Source organism: Homo sapiens, chromosome 14 (assembly GCF_000001405.40).
Source record: "Homo sapiens chromosome 14, GRCh38.p14 Primary Assembly".
NCBI lineage: Eukaryota > Metazoa > Chordata > Mammalia > Primates > Hominidae > Homo > Homo sapiens.
In genome coordinates, this window is record NC_000014.9 from 102,273,306 (window position 1) to 102,297,975 (window position 24,670).

General features: G+C 44.4%; 1 protein-coding gene across 26 annotated transcripts in view, besides 1 other annotated feature; it reads right to left on the reverse strand.

The window, feature by feature from the left end:
• Positions 1–24,670, reverse strand: part of MOK (MOK protein kinase) — a 90,569-nt gene that overhangs the window by 58,710 nt on the left and 7,189 nt on the right. For 24 of the 26 annotated variants that reach the window (XR_007064041.1, XR_007064040.1, XR_007064039.1 and 21 more), the window contains exon 2: positions 10,173–10,287. Coding sequence is in view for 14 of the 26 variants with exons in the window: in XM_047431647.1 (XP_047287603.1) it covers positions 10,173–10,287 (115 nt within the window). In the remaining 12 variants the exon portion in view is untranslated. Of the gene's footprint in view, positions 1–3,273; positions 3,309–6,754; positions 6,898–10,172; positions 10,288–24,670 lie in introns of all 26 variants that reach the window. The other 2 variants (NR_148554.2, NM_001353828.2) reach the window with 2 other exon arrangements.
• Positions 6,019–7,218: an enhancer, noted in NCBI's record as "MED14-independent group 3 enhancer chr14:102745661-102746860 (GRCh37/hg19 assembly coordinates)". NCBI's record gives its function as "activates an origin of replication core promoter dependent on BRD2, BRD4, P300/CBP and CDK7 cofactors, and independent of MED14, by STARR-seq in HCT116 cells {active_cell/tissue: HCT116}" and the evidence as "EXISTENCE:reporter gene assay evidence [ECO:0000049][PMID:35650434]".

A 24,670-nucleotide genomic window follows, 5' to 3' on the forward strand; every position in this document is an offset into this window, starting at 1 on the left:
CCTGAGAAATTTCTCAAAATACAAAGTAAACAAAAATTAATTGCATTTCTACATACTTATGGCTAACAATGGGAAATAAATGTTTAAAATATCCTTTTATAATAATGTTATAAAACATAAAACACTTAGATATAAATTTAACAAAAGACACGTAAGACCTTTTCAGTGAAACTACAAAACAGCTGAAACCGTCCAGGCAAGGTGGCTCACACCTGTAATCTGAGCACTTTGCGAGGCCAAGGTGGGCGGATCACCTGAAGTCAGGAGTTCGAGACCAGCCTGGCCAACATGACAAAACCCTGTCTTCTACTAAACATACAAAAATTAGCTGGGCATGGTGACACGTGCCTGTAATCCCAGCTACTTGGCAGGCTGAGGCAGGAGAATCTCTAGAACCTGTGAACCCGGAAGGCAGAGGTTGCAGTGAGCTGAGATCATGCCATTGCACTCCAGCCTGGGCAACAAGAGCAAAACTCCGTCTCAAAAACAAAAACAAAACATAGCTGAAACTAAAGCAAACTGAAATAAATGGAGAGACGGTTATACCATGTTTATGAATTGCAAAGTTCAATATTGCTAAGATATGCATTCTCTCCCAAATTGAACGATAGACTCAATACAATCCTATTCATAATCTCAATAGTTTTTTTTTGTTTTGTTTTTCTTTTTTGAGACAGAGTCTCACTCTGTCGCCCAGGCTGGAGTGCAGTGGCCCAATCTCCACTCACTGCAAGCTCCACCTCCTGGGTTCACTCCATTCTCCTGCCTCAGCCTCCTGAGTAGCTGGGACTATAGGCGCCTGCCACCACACCCGGCTAATTTTCTGTATTTTTAGTAGAGATGGGGTTTCACGGTTTTAGCCAGGATGGTCTTGACCTCCTGACCTCATGATCTGCCCGCCTCGGCCTCCCAAAGTGCTGGGATTACAGGTGTGAGCCACCGTACCTGCATTTTTTTTTTTTTTTTTGAGACAGGTTCTCACTCTGTCACCCAGGTTGGAGTGCAGCTGCATGATCTTGGCTCACTGAAGCCTCCACCTCCCAGGCTCAAGCAATCCTCCCACCTCAGCCTCCCAAGCAGCTGCGACTACAGGTGTGTGACACTACACTTGGCTAATTTTTGTTATTTTCAATCGAGATGGGGTTTCACCATGTTGTTCAGGCTGGTCTTGAACTCCTGGGCTCAAGTGATCAGCCCACTTTCAGCCTCCTAAAGTGCTGGGATTACAGGCGTGAGAAACTGTGCCCGGCTGGTTTTATTTTTTAATAGAATTGATGAGCTATATTCCTAGAATCCTCACAGAAAAAAAAAATTGAGCTGATTCTAAAATGTATGTGGATGTACAGAGGACCTACAGTAGGCAAAACTGTCTTTAAAAAGATGAAGAGGCCGGGCACGGTAACTCACGCCTGTAATCCCAGCACTTTGGGAGGACGAGGCAGGCGGATCACCTGAGGTCAAGAGTTTGAAACCAGCCTGGCCAACATGGTGAAACCCTGTCTCAACTAAAGATACAAAAATTAGCCAGGCATGGTGGTGGGTGCCTGTAATCCCAGCTACTCAGGAGGCTGAGGCAGGAGAATTGCTTGAAACCAGGAGGCAGAGGTTGCAGTGAGCCGAGATGACACCACTGCACTCCAGCCTGCATGACAGAAAGAGACTCTGTCTCAAAAAAAAAAAAAAAGAAGAAGAAAGACTTTTAGTATCTGACTTCAAAACTTACTGTTGAGCTACATTAATCAAAACAGTATGGTATTGGCATAATGACAGTCAAAGAGAGCAATGAAACAGAATAGAGAGTCCAAAACAGACCTATACTTTTACAGTCAATTAGCTTTTGACAAAATAATCCACTGAAGGCAAGGAAAGTCTTTTTTTAACAAATGATGCTGGAACAACTGGATATTCATTTGGGGGAAAAAACTGATGCTTGATCCCTACCGCTCACCATTCACAAAAATTAATTTAAGATGGATTGGCCGGGCACGGCGGCTCACGCCTGTAATCCCAGCACTTTGGGAGGCCGAGGTGGGTGGACTGTGAGGTCAGGAGATCGAGACCATCCTGGCTAACACGGTGAAACCCCGTCTCTATTAAAAATACAAAAAATTAGCCGGGCGTGGTGGTGGGCGCCTGCGGTCCCAGCTACTCGGGAGGCTGAGGCAGGAGAATGGAGTGAACCTGGGAGGCGGAGCTTGCAGTGAGCAGAGATAGCGCCACTGCAGTCCAGCCTGGGTGACAGAGCGAGACTCCATCTCAAAAAAAAAAAAAAAAAAAGATGGATCACAGACCTAAATGTAAAAAGTTAAAATGATAAGGTTTTTAGGAGAAAATACAGGAGAATACATTCACAACCTAGAAGTAGACAAAAATTTCTTCTAAGACAGAAAACAAAAAACAATAACCACAAAAGAACTCCATAAATTGGACTTCACTGACATTAAAAAACTTCAGCACATGGAAAGATGCCATAAAGAAAATGGATAGGCAAACCACAGACTTGGAGAAACTACCTGCAAAACACATTTAATAAAAGACTTCTATACAGAATATATAAAGAACTCCTAAATTCAATAAAAAGGCAAACAGCCTAATTTTTAAAATTATTTTTTCTTTTTTTCTCCCTTAGGATGGCTTGTTTCTTAAGGTCTAAATTTTTAAAGGGACAAAAACTTGGACAGGCAATTCATAAATGAAGATACATGAATGGCCAATAAGTACATGATCAAGTGTTTATCATTAGTCATCGGGGAAGTAGAAACTAAAACTACCATGAGATAATTCCACACAATCATCAGAATGGCTTAAACTTAAAAGAATAACAACATCAAATGCCGGTGGGAATATGGAGCAACTGGAACTTTCATTCTTTGCCGGTGGTAATATAAAAAGCTACAGGCCGGGCGTGGTGGCTCACGCCTGTAATCCCAACACTTTGGGAGGCTGAAGTGGGCGGATCACAAGGTCAGGAGATGGAGACCATCCTGGCTAACATGGTGAAACCCCATCTCTACTAAAAAATACAAAAAAAAAATTAGCCGGGCGTGGTGGCGGGCGCCTGTAGTCCCAGCTACTCAAGAGGCTGAGGCAAGAGAATGGCGTGAACCCAGGAGTCAGAGCTTGCATTGAGCCGAGATAGCCAGCCTGGGTGATAGAGCGACACTCTGTCTCAAATAAATAAATTAATTAATTAAATTAAATAAAAAAATAAAAAGTTACAATCACTTTGAGAAAAGGCTTGTCAGTTTCTTATAAAGTTAAACATATACCTACCCTTTGACCCAGTGATTCTGTTTCTAGGTAACTGCCTAAGAAAAAATGAAAACATACAAAAAATTAGCCGGGTGTGATGGTGCATGCCTGTAATCCCAGCTACTCTGGAGGCTGAGGCAGGAGAATCACTTGAACCCAGGAGGCGGAGGTTGTGGTGAGCTGAGATCATGCCAGTGCCCTCCAGCCTGGGCAACAAGAGCGAAACTCCGTCTCAAAAAAAAAAAAAAAGAAAAAGAAAAAATGAAATATGCACCAGTAGAATTTCTGTATTTCTTTTGTTGTTTTTCTGAGACAGGGTCTTGCTCTGTCACCTAGGCTGGAGTGCAGTGGTGTGATCATGGCTCATTGCAGCCTCAACTTCCTAGGCTCAGCAACGCTCCCATCACAGCCTCTCAAGTAGCTAGGACTACAGGAGTGAGCCACTATGCCCTGGTCTTTTTTTTTTTTTTTTTTTGTAGAGGAAAAAAAAAGATACTAAAAGTCTTTCTTCATACGACATACAGACCAGGCTATATGTCATCCAGCCTGGTCTCAAATTCCTGGGCTCAAGCAATCCTCACGCCTCAGCCTCCCAAAGTGCTGGGATTACAGAAGCAAGCCACCACACCCAGCCTAAGAAGTCGAATTTCATAAGCAGCTTTATTCATGGTAGCCCAAAACTGGAAACTATCAAAAAGTCCATTAACAGGAAAATGGATAAAGAAATTGTGTTGTACTCACAGATTGTAATGAATGTTGCTCAGCATTAAAGAGGCATAAACTGGCCAGGTGCAGTTGCTCACACCTATAATCCCAGCACTTTGGGAGGCTGAAGCGGGTGGATCACCTGAGGTCAGGAGTTCAAGACGAGCCTGTCCAGTGAAACCCCGTCACTACTAAAAATATAACAATTAGCTGGGTGTGGTGGCACAGGCCTGTAGTCCCAGCTACTTGGGAGGCTGAGGCAGGAGAACTGCTTGAACCTGGGAGGCAGAGGTTGCAGTGAGCTGAGATTGTGCCACTGCACTCCAGGCTGGGCAACAGAGCAAGACTCCGTCTCAAAAAAAAAAAAAAAGAGATAAACTACTGAACAACAGTAATGATGAATCTCAAAGACATGATGCTGAGTTAAAGGAGGTGGACACAAGAGCACATACTAGTGATTGCCTGGGATGGCAGTGGGAAACTGAAAAGGAACAAGAAGAACTTTCTAGGGTTATAGTAATGTTCTACATCTTGATTACACGAGAATATCCATTTGCCAAAATTGTACAGATAAACAATGTGCACTTCAAGATATACAAATTTTGACTTTAAAAAACTGTATAACGTTATAGATTGCATGTTTGTGTCCTCTAAAATTCATACGTTGAAACCCTAAACCCCCAATGGGATGATATGAGGAGGTGGGGCTTTTGAGAGGTAATTAGAGCACATGGCATTAGTGGCTCTAAGAAGAAATGCCAGAAAGACTCTAGAGAACATGCGACCTCTCTCTCTCTCTCTGCTATCTGTCATTTGAGGACAAAGCAAGAAGAGGGCCACCTGCAAATCCTAAAGCAAGCCCTCGCCAGATACCAGACCTGTCTGCCAGCATCTTAATCTTGTACTTATCACCCTCCAGAACTGTAAGAAATAAATGTCTGCTGTTTAAGCCAGACAGAATACAGTATAATTTGTTATAGCAGCCCAAGTAGAGGAAGGACACTGGGTGGAGGTATAGATTAAATAAAAATAGCAGGGATGTTGATTCTGGCTGCTGGATACCTAGGGCTGCTGTTCATTTTGTATATGCTTGAGGTTTTTCATATTATACTTTTAAGTAAAAAAAAAAAAAAAGGCTTTTAGAGAGACTAATAAATTCCTTGCCTTTGTTTCTATTTATAACCTTACACAGCAGACTTTTTGTTTTTGTAAAAGTAATTTGAGGACTGCTTAGAGGTGTGACTTGAGAAAAACCATGTACCACATGTAGACCTGACGTTGGCATCAGCATCTGCAGCTGGGAAGAACGGTGGGAAGATCACCAGCTCAGGACCTATACAGACCTGGGCTCAGAGTCAGCTCCACGACGTGTAGGTTGGGTAGCAACGGGCCAGGTGGGGAACTTGATCTCTCCGAATTTCAATTCCCTAGTCTGAAAGATGTAACAATGGATCTTCCTCCCAGGGCCGCAGTGAGGATTCAATGACACATGCATATAATTCACCTAGTACTGTTCATGACACCAGATATGTAGTGAACAACTGCGGTAATCTTACTATTATTATCTCACGTCCATCTCCAAAATAGTCTTCAAGCTCTGCTAACTTGTATTATCTGTTATGGAAAAACTGATTTACATAGCAAGTTGCTTTATTACGGTGTGCCAGCACTGCACTAAGTGCTTCATCTGCATTATTTAATTTGACCCTCACAACAATCTTATGGGGTAGATACTGTGGTTATCCCCATTGTATAAAGAAAGAAACAGAGGCACGGAGAAATTAGGGAATTGTCCAAGATTGCATGAACTAAAATGGAGGAGCTGCTGGTTCCGACCTTTAGAGTCAGAGCTGGTAACCCTACACTGAACCCCGGGTTTAGCAGACTTGTGCCAATGTCACTGCCTCGGGGCACAAAGGGAGATCCTACAAATACCAAGACTAGGGATTTTTTTTAAGAGACTCACTCCATTTCTTCTATTTCTATAGGAAAAATATAGACTAAAAGCATAGCAAGAGAACCGTTGTTGTTGTTGTTGTTGTTGTTGTTTGAGACAGGGTCTTGCTCTGTCACCCAGGCTGGAGTGCAGTGGCACAATCATGGCTCACTGCAACCTCAACCGCAACCTCCAGGACTCAAGCAATCCCCCCACTTCACCCTCCTGAGTAGCTAGGACTACAGGCACCACCACTATGCCCAGCTAACTTTTTTATTTCTTTTTTTGGTAGAGCGGGGGTTTTGCCATGTTGCCCAGGCTGGTCTTTAACTTCCAGGCTCAACTGATCTGCCCACCTTGGCCTCCCAAAGTGCTGGGATTATAGGTGTGAGACCCACTGTGCCCAAAGAGAGCCTATTCTTAATTGTGTACTTTTGGCAAGTATTGGTGGAGGAAAATTCTGAGGATATACCAGAAAAGATACAAAACGACTCAGTTCTGTTGAGGCCTCAGGCAAGTAACTAACTTCCTTATCCCTAACTAAGTCCTTGAGTGACTCAAAAGGCAAACAATGCTCAGGAGTGAAAGTGCCCTCCCTGCCACAGTACTAATCCATTATGTGTATTTTTTTACCTTTCTTTAACTTCATATTAACTAAGATTACTGCAAAAGCCATCCGTTTCTATTTGAATTAAAGCATAGGAAAGGAGCAGAAGTAATACTGGAGGGGGTAGGGGTCAGAGGCTCCAAATACCAACCTCATGCTGCCCAAGTGACTCAGTATGACTTTCTGCTACTAATGCTTCACATTCCTCACACCACCCACACAACTGTGCAAGGTGACTCTGGGGATTCACTTACACAATGATAAGCAAGCAGAAACGGATTTTTGCGTGTGTGCGGTTACCTAACGGACATGGTTTCCTGGTGGTGAGGTACATCCTGGATCTGCTTTCTGCCAAATCCCTCGCATACCAAAAGTGCCTGGTCCAGCGGAATTTCGGCTTCCTTGTCAAAGAAGGCAGAGTGAGACAGGGTCTCACTCTGTCACCCAGGCTGGAGTTCAGTGGCACAAGCACAACTCATTGCAGCATCACCTTCCTGGATTCAAGAGATCCTCCCACTTCAGCCTCCCAAGTAGATGGGACCACAGGCACACACTACCGCGCCCGGCTGATTTTTAAAATTTTTTCATGGAGGCAGAGTTTCTCTTTGTTGCCTGGGCTGGTCTCAAACTCCTGGGCTCAAGCAATTCTCCCACCTAGGCCTTCCAACGTGCTGGGATTACAAGGCATGAGCCACCATGCTGGGCCAACCTGTGGGATGTGTTCTAATCAACTGCTTTTGAAGTTAAAGGCAAAGAACATAAATTGTTTCTGAAATACAACGAATGATTCTGCATACAGTAAGGAAGGCCAGCATCCACTGCACATTTGCCATGTGTCCCACCTTGTTAGCTTTCTGTTCATTCCTTTGCTTAGTCGTCAAGCACTATGACAAGGAAGCCAAGATTCTGGTGGACCAGGCACTTTTGGTGTGTGAGGAATCTGGCAGATGGCAGACCCAGGATGTGCTTCATCACCGGGAAACCATGTCCGTTACGTAACCACACAATCTTCCCAGGGGCTGAGGAGGCATGAGAAAGAACTTCAATAAACTGAGCGTTCTTCACCCGCTAGAGAACTGCTCCTTAGAACATTCTAAACTTATCTGATAGAGGCTGGACCCAGGACTGTAATCCTAGCACTTTGGGAGGCCAAGGCAAGTGGATCGCTTTGAGCTCAGGAGTTCGAGACCAGCCGCAATATGGCGAGACCCTGTCTCTACAAAAATACAAAAATTAGGCTGGGCATGGTGGCTCACACCTGTAATCCCTGCACTTTGGGAGGCCAAGGTGGGCAGATCACTTGAGGTCAGGAGTCTGAGACCAGCCTGGCCAACATGGTGAAACCCCATCTCTACTAAAAATACAAAAATTAGCCGAGTGCTGTGACGCACGCCTGTAGTCCCAGATACTCGGGAGGCTGAGGCAGGAGAATTGCTTGAACCTGGGAGGCAGAGGTTGCAGTGAGCCAAGATCACGCCACTGCTCTCCAGCCTAGGTGACAATGCGAGACTCTGTCTCAAAAAAAAAAAAAAATTACAAAAATTATCTAGGCATTTGGTGGCTTGCACCTGTAGTCCCTGTTACTCATGAGGCTGAGGCTGGATAATCGCTTGAGCCCTGGAAGCAGAGGTTGTAGTGAGCTGAGATCACACCACTGCACTCTAGCCTGGGCAACAGAATGAGACCCTGACTCAAAAAAAAAAAAAAAAAAGAAAAAAAAAAGCATCACACCCTACTGTTCAAAATCCTGTACTGGCAACTTTGGGTCAAAGGTGGCTGTTTAAGGAAGTCTGTTTTTTTGTGTTTTTTTTTTAATTTTTGTAGAGATGGGGTCTTGCTATGTTGCCCAGGCTGATCTTGAACTCCTGTGCTCTAGCAATCCTCCTGCCTCAGCCTCCCAAGTAGCTGGAATTTCAGGTGTGAGCCACAGCACCCAGCTGTCTGCTCTTTAGATACGGGATAATCAGTATACTGTGCATCAAATCCTCTCTCATCAGTGGTTTACAAGTAAAGATGGAGTCGGGGAAAGATAAAGAAACACAGAGAATGCAGAATGCATAGAGAGGAAGAAGTGCTAGAAGAGAAGGAGCAGAACACCTGGTGGCTTCAGTCTTCCTAGTGGTAGGTAAACTACCGTATGCATTGGGCAGTGAAGAACAAGGATTTGCCTTAGCAGAATCTGGGTTCACATCTGGCTCTGCCCACCCAGTAATCTAGAAAAAATGTCAAATTACCTCACATCTCTAAGCACCTATCCTCATATATGAAACAAGGATAACTACCCTATCCAGATGTCATGAGGATGAAATTACTGTTCTTGGCCAGGTGTGGTGGCTCACACCTATAATTCCAGCACTTTGGGAGGCTGAGGCAGAAGGATCACTTGAGCCCGGGAGTTCATGGTCAGCTTGGGCAACACAGTGAAATCCCATCTCCATTTTAAAAGTTAACTAATTAATTAAAAAATGAAGGCTGGGTGTAGTGGCTCAGGCTGAGCGTGATGGCTCAGGTTGGGCATGGTGGCTCATGCCTGTCACTTATGTTATATTAATATAATATTAATATATTAATTTATTCACAGTTAGTTAAATTGCAAGGACCTCTAATACATTTAGACTAAGGTTGCATTTATAGAAGTCCAACACACAGCCAGGCACAGTGGCTCATGCCTGTAATCCCAGCCCTTTGTGAGGCTAAGGCAGGCAGATACCTTGAGGTCAGGAGTTCAAGACCAGCACGGGCAACGTGGTGAAGCCCCGTCTCTATAAAAAATACAAAAATTAGCCAGGCGTGTGGTGTGCTCCTGTGGTCCCAGCTACTCAGGAGACTGAGGTGGGAAGATCACTTAAGCCTGGGAGGTGGAGGCTGCAGTGAGCCAAGATCGAGCCATTGCACTCCAGCCTGGATGACAGAGTGAGACCCTGTCTCAAACAAAACAAAACACAAAAACAAACAAAATCAATGGGCTAGGCACAGTGGCTCACACCTGTAATCCCAGCACTTTGGAAGGCCAAGGCGGGCGGATCACTTGAGGCCAAGGAGTTCAAGACCAGCCTGGCCAACGTGGTGAAACCTGATCTATACTTAAAAAAAATAATAATTAGCCGGGCTTGGTGGCACATGCCTGCAGTTGCAGCTACTAGGAGGCTAAGTCACGAGAATCGCTTGAACTGGGGTGGCGGAGGTTGCAATGAGTCAAGATTGTGCCACTGCACTCCAGCCTGGGAGACAGAGTGAGACTCTGTCTCCAAAAAAAAAAAAAAAAAAATCAATGGATCATAAAATCAAATGGATCATAAAGGGTTCACTTCCGAGCTCTCTATCCTGTTCCATTGGTTGATATATCATTTTTTTGCTGTTTTTTTTAATTAAAAAAAAAAGAAATCCAACACATTTATAACTTTTAGGAACATACAGACTGTTTAAGGTGAGACACACTTTTGAAACTTAAACTTTTTTGTGGTCATTCATCACTGATATTACAGTAAGCCTGGATATGAGTAAACTCCAGTATGATAAACATAACATTAGCATATAACCCTCACTGCCCAAAGAAATCTGATTGTATCTTACATATTATTAAATTAATAAAGCTCCCCCCTAATATTAAGTTGCCGTTATTGACTGAAACTTGGATCTGTGTTTGGTCCCAAGTGCATCTCTGTAGCCTACCTTTCAAAGCGCTGCTTCATTTGTTTACATGCATAGTAGTTTCCATCTCTCAGGCTTTGCATCTTCATAACTTCAGAAAACGTTCCCTCTCCTATTTTGCCAATTGCTTTATAGTCTATAAATAAAAATGATTACAAAAATAAAATGTTATTTATGCATACACTTGTATTCACTTCCAGACAGCAAACTTTTAATCTATAAGATAATTTAAACAGCAATATACTGAGAATTGTTTCTCCTATCTTTGTAAGATTTAGTGGTCCCCTCAACTTTAGGGGAAGCTGGAACAAAGCATCATTTCCTTCCAGTCTGTGCCCTCCCTTGTATAGCAGGAACCACCTTACCTGGATCCTGGCCAGTGAGGAGAGGCTCAGCTACCCTACAAGATTCAGAAGATAGAGGAGCAGCAGACGTGGGATTCTTCCAGCAGGGGTGGGCATGGGCATGAGCTTAGGCTCTGGGCTGATGTCATATTGCAGCAGCAGCCTCTAAGGACCCTCCTGAAATTGACCTTCCCTGGTCCTATAGAGGGCCCAGCTGATCCGCAACAGTTTCCTACAATTCTTGCACTTCCTAATTTTCTGAAAGCTAACAGCAACTTTCCCTGGGTGTGCTGCCACCACATCACCCCAGCCCTGATAATGGTTTTGGAAGCCTCTAGATCACTATGTTAAATGCCTTCCTGCTTGATACCTAGGGTAGTTTCCATTTTCCTGACCAAACCCTGACTGACAACAAATGAGCACCTTGATGTGGGGTGCTGCTGTGAACAAAAGTCTAAAATATGTTAGTTTGGCTTATTGGTCAGGTGGCAAAATGCTAGAGAGCCTGGCATATCATGATGAAATATCGCCCACTTAAAGGAATGCCTGCACTCACTGCTGCCTTTCATGGACCCAGTGTCCGCTGAGCCTGCTGGCCTAAGGAAAGTGGTGGGAAGAGTCAGAATGATGGAGTACGCTAATTACTACTGACTGCCTTAACAAGCTATTTCAAGACAAAGATAAGTACAGGCAAGAATGGCTATACCACTTTTCAAGCAGAAATGGAAGGAATAAGTAAAATCTAGAGAGCAAAAGTCTCACCAGTTGTAAAAGTTTCTACAGCCCAAATAATAGGAGAGTAAGACTGCAACAACATTGGCAGAGAACGGTCTGTGAGCCTTCTCCATTGAACAAATGGCTCATCTTTGCGGCAGAGATCACAGGAAGGCTGTTACAATCTCTGGGCATTTGTTTCAGAAAGCTTCAAGGAAGCTCCTACAAATTGAGACCCAGAGGCATATGAGCGAGGCCACAAAGAAATAAGGCAGGCTTGGGGCCAGGCGCGGTGGCTCACGCCTGTAATCCCTGCACTTTAGGAGGCCGAGGCAGGCAGATCACCCACCTGAGGTCAGGAGTTCCAGACCAGCCTGGCCAACATGCCAAAACCCTGTCTCTACTAAAAATACAAAAAATTAGCCAGGCGTGGTGGCATGCACCTGTAGTCCCGGCCACTTGGGAGGGTGGGGCAGGAGAATCCCTCGAACCCAGGAGGTGGAAGTTGCAGTGAGCCAAGATCACACTACTGCACTCCAGCCTGGGCTACAGAGTGAGATGTCATCTCAAAAAAAAAAAAAAAAAAGAAAATGCAGGCTTGAGAACTAGATCTAGAAGAGAACCTTGGGTGTGGAACTGACCAGAAGCAAACAGACCAGAAATCTTTAAACATCACTTAGATTGTGGCAGAAACAAGCCTAGAGTAAAAGAGGCCTTCACTTCAGGCCCCAAACCTGCACCTGCACAAAGCAGATGGGGTCTTGCTATGTTGCCCAGGCTGGCCTCAAACTCCTGGGCTCAAGCCTAAACTTCTACCTCAGCCTCCCAAGTGGCTAGCATGAGCCACTGCACCCAATTCACAGGTTTTCAAAACTGCAGCGCTGAAGGTGGGCATCCTCTTCAGTATTCCTTTCCACATGCACATTTCAAATGCCTTGTCTGAATTCTGATTTGAACAAACCATCGGTAAAAAGGTACTCATTTTTCAGAAGTGATAACGGTTATGTCAAAACACAAAAAATGTCCTTATCTGTTAGCAAGAAATACAGAAGTATTTCCAGGTGAAAATGATACAATAATTGGAATTTACTTTAAAATATCCCTGGCCGGCTCACACCTGTAATCCCAGCACTTTGGGAGACCCAGGTCGGTGGATCACTTGAGGCCAGGAGTTCGAGACCAGTCTGGACAACATGGTGAAACCACGTCTCTACTAAAAATACAAAAATTAGCTGGATGTGATGGTGCGCACCTGTAATCCCAGCTACTTGGGAGGCTGAGGTAGAAGAATTGCTCAAACCCGGAAGGCAGAGGTTGCAGTGAGCCAAGATCGCACCACTGCACTCCAGCTTGGGGGACAAGAGCAAAACTCTGTCTCAAAAAATAAAATAAAATACAATACCCCTGTACATTCCCATTCACTACTGCTGAAATTATAAACTGGCATAGTCTCTTTGGAGGGCAATTTGGCAGCAGCTATTAAATCTTTAAGATGTGCATCCGGGCCGGGCGCGGTGGCTCACGCCTGTAATCCCAGCACTTTGGGAGGCCGAGGCGGGCGGATCACGAGGTCAGAAGATCGAGACCATCCTGGCTAACACGGTGAAACCCCGTCTCTACTAAAAATACAAAAAATTAGCCGGGCGTGGTGGCGGGTGCCTGTAGTCCCAGCTACTCGGGAGGCTGAGGCAGGAGAATGGCGTGAACCCAGGAGGCGGAGCCTGCAGTGAGCCGAGATCGCGCCACTGCACTCCAGCCTGGGCGACAGAGCGAGACTCCGTCTCAAAAAAAAAAAAAAAAAAAAAAAAAAAGATGTGCATCCTCCGGCCGGGCGCAGTGGCTCACGCCTGTAATCCCAGCACTTTGGGAGGCCAAGGTGAGGATCACTTGAGCCCAGGAGTTCAAGGCCAAGTTGGGCAACATAGACCCCGTCTCTACAAAAAATAATTAGCCAGACTCAATGGCACACGCCTGTCATCCCAGCTACTCAGGAGGCTGAAGTGGGAGAACCACTTGAGCCCAGGAGTTTGAGGCTGCAGTGAGTAGGGATCGCACTACTATACGCTAGCCTGGGCGACAGAGGGAGACCCTGTCTAAAAGAAAAAAAAATAACTTGCTCAAGTACATATGACAGGAAGATTAATGATTGCACCATTAATCAATACAGTAAAGCTGATAACCCAAATGGCCCCCATAGGAAACTGGATTAATATGGTTTACCTGTATAACGGAATATACTGTAAATATTTAAAATAATGGGTGGCAGGTGCCTGTAGTCCCAACTATTTGAGAGGCTGACGCAGGAGAATCACTTCAACCAGGGAAGTGGAGGTTGCAGTAAGCTGAGATTGCGCCACTCCACTCCAGCCTGGGCAACAAAGTGAGACTCCGTCTCAAAAATAATAATAATAATAATAATAATAATAATAATAATGTCCTTAAAAACTATACACACACACAGAATTAATACTGGCTCTGTCTGAGGTTACAGGTGTCTCATTTTCTAAGTTAGATATTTTCCACAATGTTGTTTTTTGAAATAAGAGCATGATTTTCACTGTTTTATTTCAAAATAACAAAAACTAAATACTCCTCCCCCAGAAAAGATGGTGGTGGGGAAAATGGTAAAATGCTGATCACTGCTGAAATTCGGTGATGGATTTATGAGGGTTCAGTGGGCGTGGTGGCTCACGCCTGTCATCCCAGCACTTTGGGAAGCCGAAGCAGGCAGATTACCTGAGGTCAGGAGTTCGAGACCAGCCTGGCCAACATGGCGAAACTCCATCTCTACTACAAATACAAAACTTGGCCAGGCACAGTGGCACATGCCTGTAATCCCAGCACTTTGGGAGGCCGAGACGGGCAGATCACGAGGTCAGGAGTTCAAGACCAGGCCAGCCTGACCAAGATGATGAAACCCCATCGTACTAAAAATATAAAAATTAGCTGAGCATGGCAGCGCTATATATCTGATAAGAAACTTATATCTAGAATATATAAATAAGTCTTATAACTCAATACAAAGACAATCCAACTAAAAGGTGATCAAAAGATTTGACAGATATTTCTCCAAAGAAGACATAAAAATGACCAATAAGCTATGAAATGATGCTCAACATCATCAGTCATTAGGGAAAAGCAAGTTAAAACTATGATGAGATACCACTTCACACTCACTAGAATCAAAAACATAGATAATAACAAGTGTTGGTGAGGATGTGGAGAAATTGGGACCCTCATACATTGCTGGCAGGAATGGAAAATGGTGCAGACACTATGAAAAACAGTTTAGCCAGTTCTTTGAGATTTTTTTTTTTTTTTTTTTTTTTGAGACGGAGTCTTGCTCTGTCGCCCAGGCCGGACTGCGGACTGCAGTGGCGCAATCTCGGCTCACTGCAAGCTCTCCGCTTCCCGGGTTCACGCCATTCTCCTGCCTCAGCCTCCCGAGTAGCTGGGATTACAGGCGCCCGCCACCGCGCCCGGCTAATTTTTTGTATTTTTAGTAGAGACGGGGTTTCACCTTGTTAGCCAGGATGGTCTCGATCTCCTGACCTCATGATCCACCCGCCTCGGCCTCCCAAAGTGCTGGGATTACAGGCGTGAGCCACCGCACCCGGCCTGAGATGTTAAACAGAGTTACCATATGACCCAGCAATTCCACTCCTACATATATGCCTAAGAGAAACAAAAACGTATGTCCAAACAAAAACCTGTAAGTGAATGTTCACAGTAGCATTATTCATAATATCTGAAAGGTGGAAAGCATCCAAATGTCCATCAGGAGATGAACGGATAAACAAAATGTGGTCTATCCATACAATGGAATATTACTCAGCCATGAAAAGGAATGAAGTACTGATACATGCTACAGCATGGATGAGCCTTGAGGACATTATGCTAAGTGAAAGAAATCAGGCACAAAATGCCACATATTATGTGATCCCACTTATATGAAATGTCCAGAATAAGCAAATCTATAGAGGCAGGAAATAGATTTGTAATTGCCTAGGGCTGGTGGAATGTGGGATAAAGGAGTAACCACTCCTTATTTCTTTTGGGGTACAGGTTTCTTTTGGGGATGATGAAAATATTTTAACATTAGATTATAGTTATAGTTACACAACTCAGAAAATATACTTAAAATCACTGAGCAGTATACTTTAAATGAGTGAACGTTATAGTATGTATATTTCAATAACTCCATTAAAACAGACAACTCTGTGGTGTTGGAAATCAGAAAGTGGTTACCCTTGTGGGGTGAAGTGACCAGAATGGGCTGAAGGGGACACCCATGATACCAGTAACACTCTGCTTCTTGATCTGGAAGCAGGTTTCATTGGCATGTTCACTTCACCAACTTGTATACTTAAATGTAAGTGCAGCTTTGTTTTGTTTTGTTTTGTTTTGAGACAGGGTCTCACTCCGTTGCCCAGGCTGGAGAGCAGTGGTGCAACCTCGGCTCACTGCAACCTCCACCTCCTAGGCTCAAGCGATCATCCCACCTCAGCCTTCTGAGTAGCTGGGACTACAGGCACCCGCCACCATGCCCAGCTAATTGTTTTGTATTTTTTGTAGAGACAGGATTTCACCATGTTGCCCAGGCTGGTCTCAAACTCCTCAGCACAAGTGATCCGCCCGTCTTGGCCTCCCAAAGTGCTGGGATTACAGGCACGAGCCACTGCGCTTGGCCAATTTGTGCAGTTTTCTGTATTATGTTATACTCCAAAATAAAATCAGAAAAAAAAAACAGAGTTAGGAATAAGCAGAGAGTATAAGGAACAGAAATGATACACAGTAAAAGTATATACAGGGAAAATCACAAAGAAACACAGACTGAGAAATCTCATTAATGGCAGAATATGCACGTCTACAAATCCCTACTGCTAAGGTGCAAAACAATCTGCTTTCAATACTATTCTAGTTCCTAAGAGGGCCAATTCCCTCCTGCTCTCGGGTTTTCCTATTTTTAAGCTCCTGTTTTTTATTTTTATTTTATTTTATTTTATTTTGAGACAGAGTCTCACTGTGTTGCCCAAGTGATCTCGGCTCACTACAACCTCCATCTTCCAAGTTCAAGAGATTCTCGTGCCTCAGCCTCCCAAGTAGCTGGGATTACAGGTGTGTGCCACCATACCAAGCTAATTTTTGTATTTTTAGTAGAGATGGGGTTTCACCATGTTGGCCAGGCTGGTCTCGAACTCCTAACCTCAGGTAATCCACCCGCCTCAGCTTCCCACCCGCCTCACCCTCCCAAAGTGCTGGGATTATAGGCGTGAGCCACTGCACCCAGCCCTCAAGCTCCTTCTTTGTCAACAGTTATAATAATATGTCTCCATACTGTGAGGTGTAAGGAGATTTACTGGTCCTTACAATTGAAACTAAAACAATTCTCTTAATAAGAACTAAAGGATAAAGAACACTTCTTCAACAGTCTTCCTAACAAGGAGACTAGATTCTTTTTCTCCATGGTTAGAACGAGACATCCTCTTCTGGTTTCTCAAAACAGGTCTCCACCCTATTTCCCAGGTGGCTTCCTTGTTCGAAATGAAAACCCTCTGGGAAGGGTTTGAGTATTACTTGGTCCTGGAAACTTACAAGAAGCAGGAGATAAAATGCATTACACTTAGAGAAAAAAAAAAAAAAGACTAGGTATGGTGGCTCACGCCTATAATCCCAGCACTTTGGAAGGCCGAGGTGGGCAGATCATCTGAGGTCGGGAGTTCAAGACCAGCCTGACCAACATGGAAAAACCCCATCTCTACTAAAAATACAAAATTAGCCGGGTGTGGTGGTGCATGCCTCTAATCCCAGCTACTCAGGAAGGCTGAGGCAGGCGAATCGCTTGAACCCAAGAGGAGGAGGTTGCGGTGAGCCGAGATCACGCCACTGCACTCCAGCCTGGGCAACAAGAGCAAAACTCAGTCTCAAAAAAAAAAGAGAGAAACAAACAAACAAAAAAAATAGTAAAAATGAACAAAAAAGGCTTGGGGAATGGAACATTAACCATTCAATTTGTGTATAAGTAAATCGGTATATTAAAAGTCACAGCCTGAGACAGAGCCAAGTGTCACAACTGGTCTGTGTTATGAGCAAAAGAAAGGTGGCCTACTGCACCAGGAAGGGCTGCTCTCCATTACCACTTCCAGGAAAAACAACCTGAGGATGCTGAATCTCCAGACTAGCATTTTCCAAACTGAGTACTACAAAACACGAGGATCCCTGAACCCTAATGGGTATTCCACAAAAGAGGGTTCCATAAGCAAATAAATTTAGGAAATACAGAGTTAAATACGGCAAAATGTGTTTGCAGAATTCCTCAATGCCTTTCCCTGCATATGAGATGAGTCTCCAAATGGAGGTGGGGTATATGAGAGGGGTGTGAGATACAACCAGAGAACACCAGTTAACATCCCCCAGCACCGCTCTAGATCCCCAAACCGAAGATCTTCAAACTATGCTATTAGAATCCCTTTTATCCAAGTTTTCCCTGAATAAAAGAGGAACTAATCTAGCTCCCAGCAAGGCAGGGTTTCAGAACTATTCTGCTAGCTTTATTGTTCTCACTTGCCTTCTGGGAGAAACTGGCTAATGTAAGGCAGGAGTGAGCCCCGCTGAGGCTTCAGGACAGAGCACGGTACCATATCCCTTCTGACAAAAAACCGGAAGCCATAACTTGCTTGACAACTATAGCTTAACTAAGTCCCAGAGCCTCTCTACAACTGGAAACCTAATTAAATTCCATTAAATCCTAAAACCAGGCAATAAAGATTCTTTGGTGCATCTCCAAGAAGCTTCTGCAAAAGAAATGGACCAAAATACAGGCCCTGGCCCTGACCACTAATTTGTACAGTTTAAAACCTCATTAAGTAATTTTGACAAGTTTCTTGAGGAGCCTCCAAACTTGAAACTTTGTGGGAAAATTCAACAGCCTAAACATCTTCTGCCCTCAAGCAGACCCTCATACTGACCTACCAGGCCCTGTTCATACTAGTCAAGGGATAGCTGTTGCTTGCTAAAACACCACCAAAATTTACCCCTTCTCTTAAATGAATTAAACTGGAAAGCCCAGAAATTTCTCTACAAGAAGATCAGTGTCTTCATTGTGCAGAAGAGCTCACACAGCAGGCCTGGGACTTCTCTCCTTAGAAAGGTCTGCTTGCAGCCAAGTGCGGTGGCTCACACCTGTAATCCCAGCACTTTGGGAGGCCAAGGTGGGCAGATCACCTCAGATCGGGAGTTTGAGACCAGCCTGGCCAACATGGTGAAACCCCATCTCTACTAAAAATACAAAAAATTTTCCAGGCATGGTGGCCTGTGCCTGTAATCCCAGCTACTTGGGAGGCTGAGACAGAAGAACTGTCTGAACCTGGGAGGCGGAGGTTGCAGTGAGCCGAGATCACGCCACTGTACTGAAGCCTGGGCAACAGAGCAAAACTCTGTCTCAAAAAAAAAAAAACTAACAATAATAATAATAAAGACTTCTTAGCACCAGCTATATACCACACACTGTGCCATGCACTGTAGACACAAATATCATTAAGACGTAATCCCTAGTCTTGAGAATTTACAGTATGTCCCTATACCCCTAATTTTAGGTCCTTTCCTTATAAAAGAGGGAGGGAGGAAATGGAACATTTTTGTTTAGAAAATATCAATGGTCAAATTATGGAGTACATAGGCCGGGTGCGGTGGCTCATGCCTGTAATCCTAGCACTTTGGGAGGCTGAGGCGGGTGGATCACAAGGTCAGGAGATCGAGACCATCCTGGCTAACACGGTGAAACCCCATCTCTACTAAAAATGTGAAAAATTAGCCGGGCATGGTGGCAGACAGCTGTAGTCCCAGCTACTCAGGAGGCTGAGGCAGGAGAATGGCGTGAACCCAGGAGGTGGAGCTTGCAGTGAGCCGAGATAGCACCACTGCACTCTAGCCTGGGCAACAGAGCAAGACTCCATCTCAAAAAACAAAACAAAACAAAACAAAACAAAAAAACAACTAATTATGGAGTACATAGTGTGTAATACCAAATACATGGTGCTCTGGATTCCAATCTTCCAGGACCGGCCTGGGAAGCTTTCAAGCAGATGTCTTTCTTCCTTCTGTGTGCACCTTGTCCTCCTGTTACAGAACTGCTCATGCTCCACTATGCACCTTCTCCTCATAAAGCCATAAACCTCTTAAATAGAAAGTCCACAATCTGTTCTCTCTTGTGCCATTACACTTAGAGAAACAAAAACCAACAGGAAAAAAAAAAAGCTTGGGGAATTAAATATTATTTTAGTATTAAAACCATTCAATTTGTATATGAGTGAATCTGTACATTAACAGCCACATTGAGGCTGGGTGTGGTAGCTCATGCCTGTAATCCCAGCACTTTGTGAGGCTGAGGTGGGCAGATCACCTGAGGTCAAGGGTTCCAAACCAGCCTGGCCAACATAATGAAACCCCATCTCTACTAAAAATACAAAAATTCGCCAGGAGGGTGGCGCACACCTGCAATCCCAGCTGCTAGCAAGGCTGAGGCATAAGAATCGCTTGAACCTGGGAGGCGGAGGTTGCAGTGAGCGGAGATTGTGCCACTGCACTCCAGCCTGGGTGACAGAGCTAGATTCCATCTCAAAAACAAAAAACAAATGAACAAACAAAAAACTTCATAAACAAAGATGGTATTCACAGTGTCACAAAAGTAAGAATGCCAGAAACTTAAATATCCAGTATCAAGGAAATGTTCTAACAAACTATGAAATAGCCACAGACTGAAATATTATGTAACCATTGATAACGATGCTTTCAAATAATATTTCATGACATGGGAAAATGTTCAGCCATAATTTCATGTTAAGTGAAAAAAAGGATGATAATGATCATACACACAACACATGCACAGAGAAAGACTGAATACAGCTGGGTGCGGTGGCTCACGCCTGTAATCCCAGCACTTTGGGAGGCTGAGGCAGGCGGATCACCTGAGGTCAGGAGTTCGAGACCAGCATGACCAACATGGAGAAACCCTGTCTCTACTAAAAATACAAAATTAGCCAGGTGTGGTGGTGCATGCCTGTAATCCCAGCTACTCGGGAGGCTGAGGCAGGAGAATCACTTGAACCCAGGAGGCGGAGGTTGCGGTGAGCCAAGATCATAGCACCATTGCACTCCAGCCTGGGCAACAAGAGCGAAACTCCATCACAAAAAAAAAAAAAAAAAAAAAAAAAGAAAAGAAAAGAAAAAAAAGAAAAAGACTGAATATAAATATGTAATTTTTTTAATGTATCTGAGTGGGACTGAAGGTGATTTAAATTTTCTTCATTATAATTATCTACATTACTCAATGTTCGCAATGAATACACATTACTTTAAATGTGTGTAAAGGTGAACATTTCAAGAATTTTAAGAAATCAGTGAAAGTGTTGGCTAAGTGCCACGAAAAACATGAACTTAAAATGAACTGTCTTAAAACTACAATATCCTTTTAAAGGAAGACAGTCATAAAGATCACGGGAAGGGGCCAGGTGTGGTGGCTCATGCCTGTAATCCCAGCACTCTGGGAGGCTTAGGCAGGCGGATCACCTGATCCCAGGAGTTTGAGACCAGCCTGGGTAACATGGTGAAATCTTGTCTCTACCAAAAATACAAAAAAATTAGCCAGGTGAGGCCGGGTGCGGTGGCTCATGCCTGTAATCCCAGCACTTTGGGAGGCCAAGGCGGGCGGATCACGAGGTCAGGAGATCAACACCATCCTGGCTAACATGGTGAAACCCCGTCTCTACTAAAAATACAAAAAATTAGCCAGGCGTGGTGGTGGGCACGTGTAGTCCCAGCTACTCGGGAGGCTGAGGCAGGAAAATGGCATGAACCCGGGAGGCGGAGCTGGCAGTGAGCCGAGATAGCGCCACTGCACTCCAGCCAGGGTGATAGAGCGAGACTCCGTCTCAAAAAAAAAAAAAAAAAAAATTAGCCAGGCATCGTGATGCGTGCCTGTAGCCCCGGCCACTTGGGAGGCTGAGATAGGAGAATCCTCTGAGCCCGGGAAGTCAAGGCTGCAGTGAGCCATGATGGTGCCACTGTACTCCAGCCTGAGTGACAGACAGCGAGAGACCTTGTCTCAAAAAGAAAAAAAAAAGAAAATCAAAGGAGGGATTGGAGGTCAATCACTCAAAGTCAAGCTGTGGACTAAGGAATTCAGATTTAAGAGAAGAGGGAATTTACACAATCAATTCCAATTTGTGTTTCATCACAGATAAATTAAGCAGACTTGCTTTAAAAAAAATAGGTCAACTGTGAACTGTAAAGTGGTTTCAGCACACAAATTCAGTGTGTGCCAATGTCCCAGGCTGGCTCGAAACCATCACAACCAGCAATAAATGGAACTTGCCGCACTGGAGGTGTCTGTTGGTAGATAAAGGGGTCACTTGTTTCCCTCATGGCTCTTCTAGTAGGCAGAAAGTATGGGGTATAAAACAAGGATAAGAGGCAGGGATTAAAAAAGAAACCACCTCTATGAAAAAATTCCTGGGAAAAGTTCCTGTTCTCTCCAACAAGATCTGGCGTATTTTCATAGGCCTTCAAAATTAAACAAGAAACACTGAAATGCAGACAAAGCATGATACAAAGCTCTGAAGGGAACAGAGCTATGATACTGTAAATGAACGTCATGCCCCACATTATTGGGAATAGAGTAAACAAGCACCAAAACAAAAAGAAAAACAGACTCAAGGACAAAGGGGTTAAAATAACAGAGCTGGATGAAAAAGGGAGAACAAGGGAGATAAATGAATACCTCTGTATTAAGATTCTATGCACATTTATTAAACCAAGGCTTGTTTGTTGAAGTGGAATTTAAGCCTTATTTAACAAGTGAAAATGAAGGTCAAATTCACTTTTTGTGAAATGCAAAACTTGTCACGTTCAAGTCCAAACATTTTTATTCATGTGCTGTTTATAAAGTTCTTAATCAGGGTGGGTGACAGGCATCAGAGCTATGGGGCTTCACCAGTAGAGGGAGGAAAAGAATTGGGGGAGGTTAATTGCTGACTACAACTAGAGTATGCGAGGAAGAAGATTTCAGCTTCTTACTAATTTCCATTCTCTTCGAGAGATTAAACAGTTCAAACCAAATTACTAAAACAAGGTCAGGAAGCTTCAGTGAAGAGGAGCTGTACACAATTAATTATTTGATATAGTGAGGAAAATTATGACCTGAATTACTAAACATTGTGAAAACAGAAAAGAACACAAAACTATTCAAAAATTCTTAAAATTTTAAAATTGAAATTACACCTATTAACCCAGTAAGTCCACTGTTAATAAACTTGAAGAATTATTCAAAGATCTATGTTCTGGACTGGGCGTGATGGCTCACATCTGTAATCCTAACACTTTGGGAGTGCAAGATGGGAGGATCACTTCAGATCAGGAGTTCATGACCAGCCTGGTCAACATAGCAACACCTGGCTAGGCATAGTGGCTCATGCCTGTAATCCCAGCACTTTGGGAGACCAAGACGGGTCGATCACCTGAGGTCAGGAGTTCAAGACCAGCCTGGCCAATATGGTGAAACCGAGTCTCTACTAAAAATACAAAAATTAGCCAGGCGTGGTGGTGCCTGCCTGTAATCTCAGCTACCTGGAAGGCTGAGGCAGGAGAATCGCTTGAACCCAGAAGGTGGAGAGTACAGTGAGCCAAAATCACGCCACTGCACTCCAGCCTGGGCAACAGACTGAGAGTACGTCTCAAAAAAAAAAAAAAAAAATAGCAAGATCTATTACAAAAAAAAAACTATGTTCAAGCATCTTCATAGATGCATCATCCTACAAGCTACAATACAACATATTTAATGTAATCCCATTTGATTTTGGGTAAGGAACAACCATATATTTATATGTATATACACACACACCAATATATAAAACTTGTGTGTATATACACAAAAATATGCATAGAAAATGTATGAATGTCCATCTAAGACAATGTTAACCAGGATTTACTGTGGCAAATAGGGGAAGGTCCTGAGGCTAACTCAAAACCTTCTATGGTTTGGATTTATCACAAAGCCAGTATTAAGTTTACCTCATTTTGTTTTTATTTCAAGAGAAACAGTTGCTAGATAATGCATCTACTTATAAAAACAGAAAGTGGCCAGGCACAGCTGTAATTCCAACATATTGGGAGGCCGAGACAGGAGGACCACCAGATCCCAGGATTTTGAGACCAGTCTAGGCAACATGGTGAGACCCTCATCTCTAAAAAAATAATAATAATAAATAAGTAAAATAAAATGGCTCACACCTGTAATCCCAGCACTTTGGGAGGCTGAGGCAGGTGGATCACAAGGTCAGGAGATCGAGACAAGCCTGGCCAATATGGTGAAACCCTGTCTCTACTAAAAATACAAAAATTACCCAGGCGTGGTGGCAGACACTTGTAGTCCCATCTACTTGGGAGGCTGAGGTGGGAGAATACCTTGAACCCAGGAGGCAGAGGTTGCAGTGAGCTGAAATCACACCACTGCACTCCAGCCTGGGCAACACAGCGAGACTCTGTCTCAAAAAATAATAATAAATAGGCTGGGCACGGTGACTCACGCCTGTAATACCAGCACTTTGGGAGGCCAAGGTGGGCAGATCACGAGGTCAGGAGATCAAGACCATCCTGGCTAACACGGTGAAACCCCATCTCTACTAAAAGTATAAAAAAATTAGCAGGGTGTGGTGGCGGGCGCCTGTAGTCCCAGCTACTCTGGAGGCTGAGGCAGGAGAATGGCATGAACCCAGGAGGCGGAGCTCACAGTGAGCCAAGATTACGTCACTGCACTCCAGCCTGGTCCACACTGCAAGACTCCGTCTCAAAAATAATAATAACAATAACAAATAAATAAACAAATAAAATAAAAACAAAAATTGATGCTCACAGAAGGAGATGAAAAGGATTATTTGAGGTACCTTTTTTGATTCCATGAAAATACTAGTGAGAGGTGATAGCGTGCTGGCAGCCCTTGAAGCCCTCGCTGGCTCTCGGCACCTCCTCGGCCTCGGTGCCCACTCTGGCCACGCTTGAGGAGCCCTTCAGCTCGCCGCTGCACTGTGGGAGCCCCTCCCTGGGCTGGCCGGGGCCAGAGCCGGCTCCCTCAGCTTGCGGGGAGGTGTGGAGGAAGAGGCACCGCGAGGTGTGGAGGGAGAGGTGCAGGCGGGAACCGGGGCTGCACGTGGTGCTTGCGGGCCAGCATGAGTTCTGGGTGGGTGTGGGCTCAGCGGGCCCCGCACTAGGTGCGGCCAGCTGGTGCTGCTGGCCCCGGGCAGTGACGGGTTTAGCACCCGGGCCAGCAGCTGCTGAGGGTGCACCGGATACCCTGCAGTGCCGGCCCACCGGCCCTGCCTGTGCTCAAATTCTTTCTGGGCCTCAGCTGCTACCCACGAGGCAGGGCTTCAGACCTGCATCCCGCCATGCCTGAGCCTCCCAACCCCC